This window comes from Homo sapiens, chromosome 1 (assembly GCF_000001405.40).
Source record: "Homo sapiens chromosome 1, GRCh38.p14 Primary Assembly".
Lineage (NCBI taxonomy): Eukaryota > Metazoa > Chordata > Mammalia > Primates > Hominidae > Homo > Homo sapiens.
Window position 1 is genome coordinate 247,814,339 of NC_000001.11, and position 11,579 is coordinate 247,825,917.

At 36.0% G+C, this 11,579-nt stretch overlaps 1 protein-coding gene across 1 annotated transcript, besides 1 other annotated feature; it reads right to left on the reverse strand.

The window, feature by feature from the left end:
* Window positions 322-9,781, reverse strand: OR14A16 (olfactory receptor family 14 subfamily A member 16). Its single transcript, NM_001001966.2, has 3 exons — window positions 9,615-9,781; window positions 4,725-4,839; window positions 322-1,406 (listed from the first exon to the last, which is right to left on the reverse strand). Exon 3 carries the CDS (start codon window positions 1,389-1,391, stop codon window positions 462-464), a length of 930 nt encoding a protein of 309 aa, NP_001001966.1. The 5' UTR covers window positions 1,392-1,406; window positions 4,725-4,839; window positions 9,615-9,781; the 3' UTR covers window positions 322-461.
* Window positions 10,875-11,075: a silencer, noted in NCBI's record as "peak836 fragment used in MPRA reporter construct". NCBI's record gives its function as "represses an SCP1 promoter by STARR-seq MPRAs in K562 erythroleukemia cells {active_cell/tissue: K562}" and the evidence as "EXISTENCE:reporter gene assay evidence [ECO:0000049][PMID:32103011]".

The window sequence follows — 11,579 nt, forward strand, 5'->3', positions numbered from 1 at the left end:
CTTCTCAGTGACATTTAAATAGTCAAGTCAATACAAGGAATAAATATGGATAATTTGTCAAAGAATTCTATAAGACTTTTTTGTTCAGATTGATTAGGTCATAAGAGAGTAGAGGTTTGGGTTTTGTATTACTGCTGCTGCTTCTTCAATAAGAGTTTTTAAGTGAGATAGTAAGTTCTAAACAAACATTCTTTCTTACATCATATTAAAGATAACTAGAAATCAGCTTATGTACACCACCCAAGAAGGGGTTTGGGAAATGGCTCCATATTGTAAAAATTCAGAATTTTACTTAAGAATAGAAAAATGTAATTAATTGCCCAAGGAAATTTTCTAATAAAATAATTGCTTTCATTTGTCTTTTTAAATTTTTACTTTTAAGAATTAGAGATAAAAATGAAGAATTAATGTGTGTACATTATAAATGGTATCTATTATTGAAAGAAGAAAAGCAACAGCTTTTACTTTTTGGTGAGCTTTCCCTTTATCAACATCCCCAGAGCCACCTTTATGGCCTTGTTTCTCAAACTGTATATAATGGGATTAAAGGTTGGGGGCAGCATAGTGTAGAACACAGAAATTACAGCATCCAAAATAGAAGGAGACTCTGAAGCTGGCTTCAGATAAGCAATGAATCCAGTGGAAAGAAATAACACAACCAGCAAGTGTGGAAGGCAAATAGAGTAGGCTTTTGACTGGCCTTCTGTGGAAGGGATCTTCTTGACTGTAGAGAAGACGTGGACATAGGTAATGATGATGACAATAAAACAGCAGAAATCCAAAACTACATTAATAAGGATGAGTGCAATTTCTCTTATTAAATTTTCTGAGCAAGAAATAGCTAATAACTGGGGAATGTCACAGAAGAACTGATGGACCATGTTGGACCCACAGTAGGATAAGGAGAAGGTGCCAGCTGTGTGCATCACAGCAATCAGACCCCCATACAGCCAAGACACAGTGGCTCTTTGGACACAGGTGCTCCTGTCCATGATGACATCATAGTGCAGAGGGTGACATATAGCAGTATAGCGGTCAAAGGACATCACCGTGAGGAGGAGCAGCTCTGCAGATGCTGAAGAAAGCAACAAAAAGACCTGGGAAACACAGCCAAGGAATGAAATGGAGTTGTTGTGTATCAAAGAATTGGCGATAGATTTGGGAGCCGTGACTGAAATAAGGCAGAGATCCAAGAAAGATAGATTCTTCAAGAAGAAATACACGGGGGTGTGGAGATGATGGTCCAAAGTTGTGATCATGATAATGAGGACATTCCCCATCAGGGCACACAAATAAATCAACAAGAAGAGAATCGAATGCAAAATGCACATATTTTTATTGGTAGAAAACCCCATAAGGATAAATTCAGTCACGATTGTGAGATTTGCCATTATTGCAGGAGTAATCTGCAGGAAAAGGAGAAGACTGAAGTAAAATATCAATGTCCACTCTTTAAATATTAAATATATATAACACATATATTATTTAGCATACTGAAACACACACACGTACCACACGTATGGTAATTCCATGCCAATTTGCCACAAAAAATACTTTCATCTAGTTCTTTTTTAGTGCATTGATCACCAAGCATTTCCTGATTAATTTCATGTTATTGAGGCAATTTAGTTCACATAAATGCAGTTATAATATTATCCAAATATATCTTATGAAATATACTGAAAGATTAAAAATTTTCTACGGATGTTATCAAAACTTAAAAACAAAGTTTTCCTGCCCATCTCTCTTGAAAACTCAAACCAACAAACCAATGGCTACTACATTGTACCATAGTCTTGCTCTTCCTACATCTTGTCCCATGACTAACAGGACCTCAGTTTCAACACACCTTCCAAGAATTTGAACAATTAACAATTCTAAAAACAAAACTTAACTATTACAGACCTCCCTCAAGCTATTCTACAAAGTCTTTAACCTACTTACTCTCTAAAAAACTTTGTTTGCAGGTATTCTCACATTTGAAATTTTAATAAGAGATTGAACTAATGGTGCTTTTTTAACACCATAATTTGCAATCTTGTGCCTATAGTTTCATAGGACACACACATGGTTACTGTAGGCAACAGATCCTATAATATATGAGCTGGCCGGGTGCGGTGGCTCACGCCTGTAATCCCAGCACTTTGAGAGGCCCAGGCAGGTGGATCGCCTGACGTCAGGAGTTCAAGACCAGCCAGGACAACATGGCGAGACCCCATCTCTGCTAAAAATACAAAAAATTAGCTGGGTGTGGTGGCGGGCACCTATAATCCCTGCTACTTGGGAGGCTGAGGCAGGGTGAATCACTTGAACCTGGGAGGCGGAGGCTGCAGTGAGCCGAGATCACACTATTGAACTCCTGCCTGGGCAACAGAGCGAGGCTCTGTCTCAAAACAAACAAATAAATAAATATTTTGTTAGCCTTATATTAACTGAATTACTCACTTTTCTTTTTTAATCCCCCATCTGCCACTTTGACTTTTTTCTCATATTTAATAAGTTAAACTATGTTTTCTCTTTCAAGCTTTTTTCTCTTTCATCATAGCCAAGTTGTACAACGACAATGCGTGACCTTGCATATCACAATCTTAATGTTTTTATGTCCACTGCTTTCTCTGTTCCCCTCTATCCCTTCCAAAAAAGTATTGCAAATTATGGGGCAGGGGAGAAGGATCGCCACATAATTTGAACAAAATTCAGATGGTCTTACTCTGATGGAAAACTGTGGTTATTCATTCGTATTGCAGTGACATGTGGGGGCTTTCTAATTCTACAGATTGTATACATTGACCTTAATGTAAATTTAGTAAAATATTAAAACTGTACTTGACAATTTTCCTCCTGCACTCTCTTCTTTGGTTCTTTCTTTTAAATATTGTGCCTGTTCTCTCTCAGGAGTGATAGATAAAGAAAAATCACAGTGTAAATGTTGTTTGCTGAATTTAGGAGAGAAGTGATATAAACTAATTTTAATCTGTTAGAAAAAAAACCCAGACATTTGAATGAACAGTTAAAAATAAATGTTAGGATTTATTCCAGAAAAAGAAGTAAAAATATTTTGAGTGGTTTTTAAAAAATCATTTTAATGATGTTCGATTTGATTAATCTCTGTGGCTGTTCTTGTTAAAATATTGTGACTTCATCTTACAGCATCACTAATAGTCCCCGAGTGGTTGAGTAAAAAAGCATATGATTACTAAGACAGATGTCCATACGTGTCTCTTTCTTCTAGTATGAGGGAAACAAAATGGTAAGGGAAAATTGACTCAAAGACAGTGGTATTGATGATTCTGTCTGACTGAGCTTTCTTCATAATCGTTTAGAAGCTGGAAAGTATAGCATGCCTTTTTAAGAAGTACTTCACATTTTTTTTTTAAGATTAGTCTTAAGTTTCTTGTTTCATTTATTTCTAGTTACCTCTCATTAATTTTGTGATTTCATTTAACATTTAATACACTTTCAGCTTAGTGTGGTAAATCCAAAAATATATCACTAAGAGTTACAACATCTGATATTCATAATACATACTCCTCAACGAAGATACTATAATGTGCCAAAAGTATTAAAAATTATAATCCTATTGTGGAATACTTAAAATTAAAAAGATAAAAAGTAGTATTTTATCCCATTTCTGTGTGTGAAGTTCACTCACAGGAAAAGCTAATACTGCTACTTTGAATAATTTGAGCATCAGAGAAAAAATATATCTTTAGGTTTTATTAGTTTCTATTATTTGTAAAATAAGAATTTTAATTGTTCCCAAATCCAGACAAATTTTAACCCCAAAATTTTTAAAATATGAAATGTGATTTTTATCATCAGAGAAATGCAAGTAAAAACTATAATGATATAATGATCTTACCCCAATTAAAATGGATTTTATCCAAAAGACAGGCAATAACAAATGCTGGGGAGGATGTAGAGAAAAGGGAATTGTACACTGTTGGAGGGAATGTAAATTAGAACAGCCACTATGGACAACAGTATGGAGGTGCCTCCATAAACTAAAAATAAAACTACCATATGATCCAGCAATCCCATTGCTAGGTATATAACTGAATGAAAGGAAATCAGTATATCAGAGAGGTATTTGCACTTGCATTTTTATTCACTGTTCAGAATAGCTAACAGATGAGTAGATTTTAAAAATGTTGTGCATATGCACAATGGAGTATTATTTACCCACAAAAACAAATGAAATCCTGTCATTTGCAACAACATGGATAGAACTAGAGGGCATTATGTTAAGTAAAATAAGCCAGGCTCAGAAGGACAAATTTTGCATGTTCTCACTCTAATTGGGAGCTAAAAATCAAAGCAATTGAATTCATGAAGATAGAGAGTAGAATGGTGTTTCCCAGAGACTGAGAGGGTAGTAAGGAGTTTGGAGGAAAGTAGCAATAGTTAATGGGTGCAAAAATATCATTTAAAATGTGAATAAGATTTAGTATTTGATACACAACGAGGTGACTACAATCAACAGTAATTTATTGTATAATTAAAAATAAGAGAATGGAATTGGAATGTTCCTAACACAAATTATAAATGCTTGAGGTGATGAATGCCCCAATTACCCTAATATAATTTTTACACATCTTATATCTGAATCAAAACATCACAGGTACCCCATAAATATACACATCTCTATGTACCCACAAAAGTTAAAAATAAAAAATTTTTAAAAATAAAAAATATAATGAGTTTTCTTTTAAAAAATGACTTACTCTATACCTCCAATCTGGCGCACGAAGATTCCAGATGTCTTCTGAGGCTTGTTTTCAATGCTTCTTTATTCATTTATAGAGTGCTTACTAAAGGCCAGATCTTTCTGTTGGCAAACTTCAGTGAAAACAATGCAGTGAGTCAAATTCCAAAGGTGTGTGGGAAGTCACTTTCTCAAAACACCAGCTTCTCCATGTTGTGCTTAGAGAGAGGGTGTGTGAGGAGCAGAGGAAAGAGCTATCCCAGGAGATTGCGATGCGAGTAATATCATGAAGAACACAGGTGGGGGTATAACAGGTGAGGTTCAGAGTTTAGCACAGCCCCAGGGGAGCAGATTTAAAAAAAAAAGACTAGGAGATGTGTTACAGAAAAAATGGAGAGCAGGATCAGGCAGACACTGCAGGTCATGGGAAGTAGTTTGTTTACTGTGAGTGAGAGAAAAATCTGGATGGTTTTGAGTAGAGGAGTAGAATGATCCGACTTGAACTTTTTGTCTTATTATCTATTTATTTTATTGTATATATTTAAAGTGTATAATATGTTTTGATATGAATGTAGATAGTGAAATAATAATACAGTCAGGCAATCTAACATATCCATCACCTCACATAATTGCCTTTTGTGTGTATTTAGTAAGAACACCTAAAATCTGCTCTCAGCAATTTTTTAGTTTACGATAAAATATTATTTGTTATGGTCCTCATGCTGTGCATAAAATGCCCTGTTGAATAAAAGTATTGAGAGTGTCCATCCTTGTCTTGTTCCTGATCTTAGAGGAAATGTTTAAACTTTTCATTCTTGCAAATGATGTTAGCAGTGGGCTTGTGATTTATGGCTTTATGATTCTGTACCTAATTTGTTTAGAATTTTCATTATGAAAGGAATTGTATTAAATGCCTTTTCAGAATCTATTGAAATATTCTATGGTTTGGTCCTTCATTCTGTTAATGTAGTAGATCACAGTTATTGATTTGCATATTCTAAACCCACTTGCATCTGAAGGAAAAATCCAGATTTATTATGATGAATGATCTTTTTAATGTGCTGTTGAATTTGATTTGCTAGTATTTCATTGAAGATTTTTGCATCTGTGTTTATCTGGAACACGGGCCTGTAATTTTTCTTTTCTTGCAGTATCCTTGTCAGGATTCAGTATCAGAGTAATACTGGCCTCATAACATGATTTTAGAAGTGTTCCTTCATCTTCAATATTTTTGAAATGTGTAAGGGAGAACTGGCATTAGTTATTCTTTAAAGATTTGATAGAATTTACCCATGAAGCCACCAGTGACTGGGTGTTTTTGTTGTTGCTGTTATTGTTTATGATTTTTAAAAAGGGGACTTAGTTTTGTTGCTATTTTCTATTGTCTTTCTGGACTTCATTTTTATTTTTCTCTGCTTTTTTCTTTGTTATTTCCTTTCTCCTACTAATTTTTGGCTTAGTTTGCTCTTTTTTCTCTAGGTTCTTGAGCATAATGTTAGGTTTTATTAAGATCTTTCTTGGGCCCGGCACGGTCGTGCACACCTGTAATCCCAGCACTTTGGGAGGCCGAGGTGTGTGGATCACTTGAGGTCAGGAGTTCGAGTCCAGCCTGACTAATATGGTGAAACCCCATCTCTACTAAATACAAAAAAAAACCCCAAAAACAATTACCCAAGCGTGGTGGTGCATGCCCGTAATCCCAGCTACTGGGGAGGCTGAGGCAGGAGAATCACTTGAACTTGGGAGGCGGAGGTTGCAGTGAGCCAAGATAGTGCCATTGCACTTCAGCCTAAGCAACAAGAGTAAAGCACCGTCTCAAAAAAAAAAAAAAAAATCTTTATTTTTCATGTAGGCATTGGTGCTGTAAATTTTCTTATTAGAACTGCATGACTGCATCTCATAAGTGTCAATATGTTGTGTTTTCATGCTTGTTTGAATCAACATGTTTTTTCATTTCCTTTTTAATTTCTTCTTTGAACCATTAGTTGTTTATAAGCATGTTAATTTCAACATATTTGTGAAGTTTTCTGAAATTCCACTATTATTGTTATCTAGTTTCATACCATGTAGTCAGAAAAGATACTTGATATGATTTCATTCATCTTAAACTTGTTAAAAATCACATTGTGGCCTAACATTTGGTCTATGCTGAATAATGTTTTATGTGCACTTGAGAGGAACATATCTTCTGCTGCTATTGGATGGAATGTTTGGGATGTGTCTGTTAGGTCCATCTGGTCTAAAGTGTAGTTCAAGTCCAATCCTTGTTGATTGACTGCTGGATGATTACTAATACATCAGTTCATAGTTGAATGTGGAGTATTGAAATCCCCTACTATTACTTTATCACTATCTCTCTTTTCAGATAAAGTATTTGCTTTATATATTTGGTATGCTGATGTTACATTCATATATATTTGCAATTGTTATATCTTCTTGATTGATTAACCCCTTTATCACTATATAATAACTTTCTTTGTCTATTTTTACAGTTTTGACTTAAAGTCTATCTTATGTAAGTATAGCTACCTCTGCTCTGTTTGATACCCATTTGGATGGAATATCCTGTCATCCTTATACTTTCAATCTACATGTGTCCTTTATGATGATGTGACTCACTTGAAGGCAAGGTATATTATCTATGCACCCACTTTATGTCTTTTGATTGGAACATTTAATTCATTTGCAGTTGATAAACTGGGTAGTACTTACTGCTGCCATTTTGTTAAATATTTTCTGGAGTTCTTTTGTGTGTTTTTAAAATAGATTCTTTGTTCCTTTCTTCACCTTTTGCTGTCTTCCTTTGTGATTAGATTTTCTCTAGTGGTGTGCCTTGATTCCTTACTTTTTATCCTTTTTGTGTCTACTATAGGTTTTGGCTTTTTTGGTTAGTATGATAATAACTTAAAATGTTTTATACTTATAACAGGCTATTTTAAGGTGTTAACAATTTAACTTTATCCACATTAAATTTAAAAACTCTATTACTCCTCTCATTTTAAGTCTCTTATATCACAATTTATGTTTTTTATGTTGTAAACAAATTTGTTGCTATTATTATCTTAATAGTTTTGTATTTTCCATACTGTGGTAGTTAATTTTAGGTGTCAAACTTGACTGGATTAACAGAGGCTTAGGTGGCTGGTGAAGCTTTGTTTCTGGATGTGTCTGTGAGGGTGTTTCCAGAGGAGATTAACATGTGAGTCCATGTACTGAGAGAGGAAGGCCTGCCCTTAATGCCCTTAATGGGGCTGGGGTGTGTGTGTGTGGCGGGGGGGGAGGGTGGGGATGCTGGCGAAAACTAACAGTAGGCAGAAGGGGGATTTTTTTTCTCTCTTTCTGTTATCTCTGTCTTCAGGAGTGAGATGCCTCTCCTCCTCTGGCCCTCAGACATCAGACTCCAGATTCTTCAGCTTTTGGACTCTGGGACTTGCACCAAGGGCTCTTGGGCTTTTGGCCTTGGACTTAGGGCTGCACCATCAGTTTCCCTGGTTCTGAGGCTTTCAAACTGAATCATAATACCAGATTCTCTGATCATCCAACTCGCACTTGGCCTTTCTGGGACCTCTCTGCCTCTGTGATTATGTGAGCCAATTCCCCTGAATAAATCCCCTCTCATATATCCTATTGGTTATGCTTATCTGAAAACTCTAATATAGGTTTAAAATTACTAATACATCTTTCAAATTACAGATTTCACACAACATCTAATAATCTGACTAGGCTCTCAGTTCATAATTAAGAGTGAGGAAGCTTATTGGGTATTCTAGGAGCAAAGACTGAACTTATCAATAGCTGAACTTCATCAAGAAAAGATGCAGAGGTTTTGAGGGATCTCAAACACAAATTTTTTCCAGAATTCAGTTTCCCCAGAAGGGAAGCATATAAAATATTTGGCCAGCTGAATGTAAGACTGTCACTTGAATTTTGTAAAATAAAATTAAGGGTTTCAAAATATATAATGTCTGTATTCTCTAAAGGACCCTATTGATTTGTATTCCTTATTCCCACTACCCTTTGTGGGGTGCCTGATATCTCTGAGGCTTATCTCTGCTTCAACTTCTGCAGAACCTACATTCCACTACTTTTACCAGGAGTTGGAGTAATTTCTTAACTTTTGAGGTGAAGATCTAGAGTTGTGTCATAATATTAAAATAAAATAAGCCAGGCACACAGTGGCTCATGCCTGTAATCCCAATGTTTTGGGAGGCAAAGGTGGAAGGATCACTTGAGGCCATGAGTTTGAGACAAACCTGAGCAACCTGGAGAGACCCCCATTTCTACAAAATAAAAAAATAAAAACATTATCTGGTTATGGTGCTGCACACCTGTAATCCTTGCTACTCAGGAGGCTGAGGTGGGAGGATCCTTTGAGCCCAGGAGGTTGAGGCTGCACTCACTGAGCCATGATCATGACACTACACTCCAGCCTGGGTGACAGAGCAAGACCCTGCCTCTAAAATATTATGACAAAAGATGATAAAATAAAATAGTTACCCCAACATCTAGCATGACAATTAAATAATACCGTAAGTGCTGCAGTAGGTCTTCAAGCATGCATACAGAAAATAAATATAATATGGGAAAAAATGTTTTTAGGCAGTGGACATCAGAGCACAAAACTGTCAATTCTGAATGAATATTAGTGGAAAAATACTATGCAACTATTTTTTACTGGGAAGGATACGATAAATATGTATTTCCTATTTGGAAGCATCCAGAATTGGAGGAGACACCCACTCAAAAGTTAAGCACCAATCCAAAATTCGAATTTAAAGTTATTAATATCATAAAATTGAATTGAATTTAAAGCAAAAATATAAAAATAAATAAAATAATATTCATATTGTTCTAAGTATCAGTATATCATCCAGATAAGCTGTAAAATTTAATACCGTTCCAACAATACCTTTACAATTGAAGTGGTGTCACTGTCTGGGGTAAATATCCAGGATTCACTGTCTCCCACAAAGAAGATTTAGGACACGGACACACACCAGGAGTTCAGGAGCAGAGGTTTAATAGGCAAAGGAAAGAGAAAAGAAAATAGAGCTCTCTCTAGTAAGAAACAGGGCCTTCCGAAAGGAGGGACCAGCCAGCATCAGAGTTCACTGGATTTTATAGGCAGGCTTGGGGAAGTGGTGTCTGATTTACATAGGGCCCACAGGTGTGACATTTGCATAATGCCGGGGGGAAGGCTGGCTACGTCACCTTAATCTTGTTATGCAAATGGACTTTACACTTGACCAGGGCGTCTTGTTTGCTTTTTACTGTACACATGGCTGGCAAACAGAAGCAAAGATGGAGCCACCATTTTGAACGTGCCTGGTCCCAGGTAGCTTTCTCCCATCTGCATTCACCTGTACAAGCTTCCAGCTTGCTTGTCTATGTCTGCAGCTCAATTTTATAGGCTGCTCTTTGTTAGAAAATGATTTCAGGGCTGCTTTACATTAAAAAGAGAAACTTTATCAAGGACTCCCATACCCTGCTTATGTAGTTTCTTATCTCCTATATCATAATTATGTCATCATTAAAATCTGTATCTATTCTATATCTGTATCTTTGTCTATGTCTAAATCTACATATTTAAAATTCAGTACAACAATCTCACATTGCATTTAACTGTCATGTCCTTTTATTCTCCATTAATCTGGAGTAGTTTATCAATCTCTGTGTGTTCATGAGTTTGACATTCTGAAGAATGAAGGTCAGGTACTTTGTAGAATGTCCCTCGATTTAAAATTTTCTGTGACTTCCTCAAAATTAGAATCAGATTGTTATAAGAAGGCAAGGATGTCAATTTGTTCCATTACTGTCGGTGCTAACTTTAATCACTTGGTTAAGATGGTGTCTGCCAGATTTCTCCACTTCGAAGTCATGCTTTTTCCCTTTGTAATGAACAAGAATTTTATGTGCATATACCTTGAGTCTAGGCTTCAGATGGAATTGTTTTCACATGGCATATACTTTTCTAAAATTCTGAGCAATATGCTTGGCAATTATTTTCTAGATCTCTTATAAAGTCCATTAGTAATCCCTTCATATTTGCATATCTCTTTATGTAGTTGTCCCTTTGAATTTGATATTTGTAATTTTAAATATTTCAACTTTATATAACTGACTTCAATTCTTAACCAAGATGTCTGACCATGCTTCCATGCCTGATTGCCACTTATAGCTTCCTAATTTTACTGAGTCTCTAATTACATGCTTTACACTTTTACATGTAAATATCTCTACCATATTTGAACATTGGCCATTTAGATACTTGTGTAACTTGGAATCAAATTTATGATCTTTTTTTTTAAATGAAACTCAGACATGGTAGTCCGCCTCTTTGAGTGTGCAGTGATCTTTGAATGTAAATATAGATATTTACAAAGCTGGTTATTTATAAAGTTACTGCTAGTGACATTAGAACACCTCAGCCATCTTTACGGCTGAAATGGTGCAGTAAAGGAGTAAAGCAAAAAGGAGAAAGAGATCGGGGGAAGTGCTGGCGGGCGGAAGTGCTGGCCGGCGGAAGTGCTGGCGGGCGGAAGTGCTGGCGGGCGGAAGTGCTGGCGGGCAGAGATGAAAGCTTCAATCAGATTATGCAACCAACCTGAGAGACTTTCACAAAAACAGAACCGAAGATTAAATTCCCTAAACAGAACTTAATTCTATCTGCTCTGCAAATTCTCCTCATTGGCCTGATCTAACCAGAAGCCAAGGACAGTGACTTTGCTGATACAGTCCAGAAAACTTAGACTACAGGCCACAGTGCAGGCTGGAGGAGAGTTAACAATGGATCCAGTTGGGCATATATATATATATATATATATATATATATGTGTGTGTGTGTGTATATATGTGTGTATATATATGTGTGTAT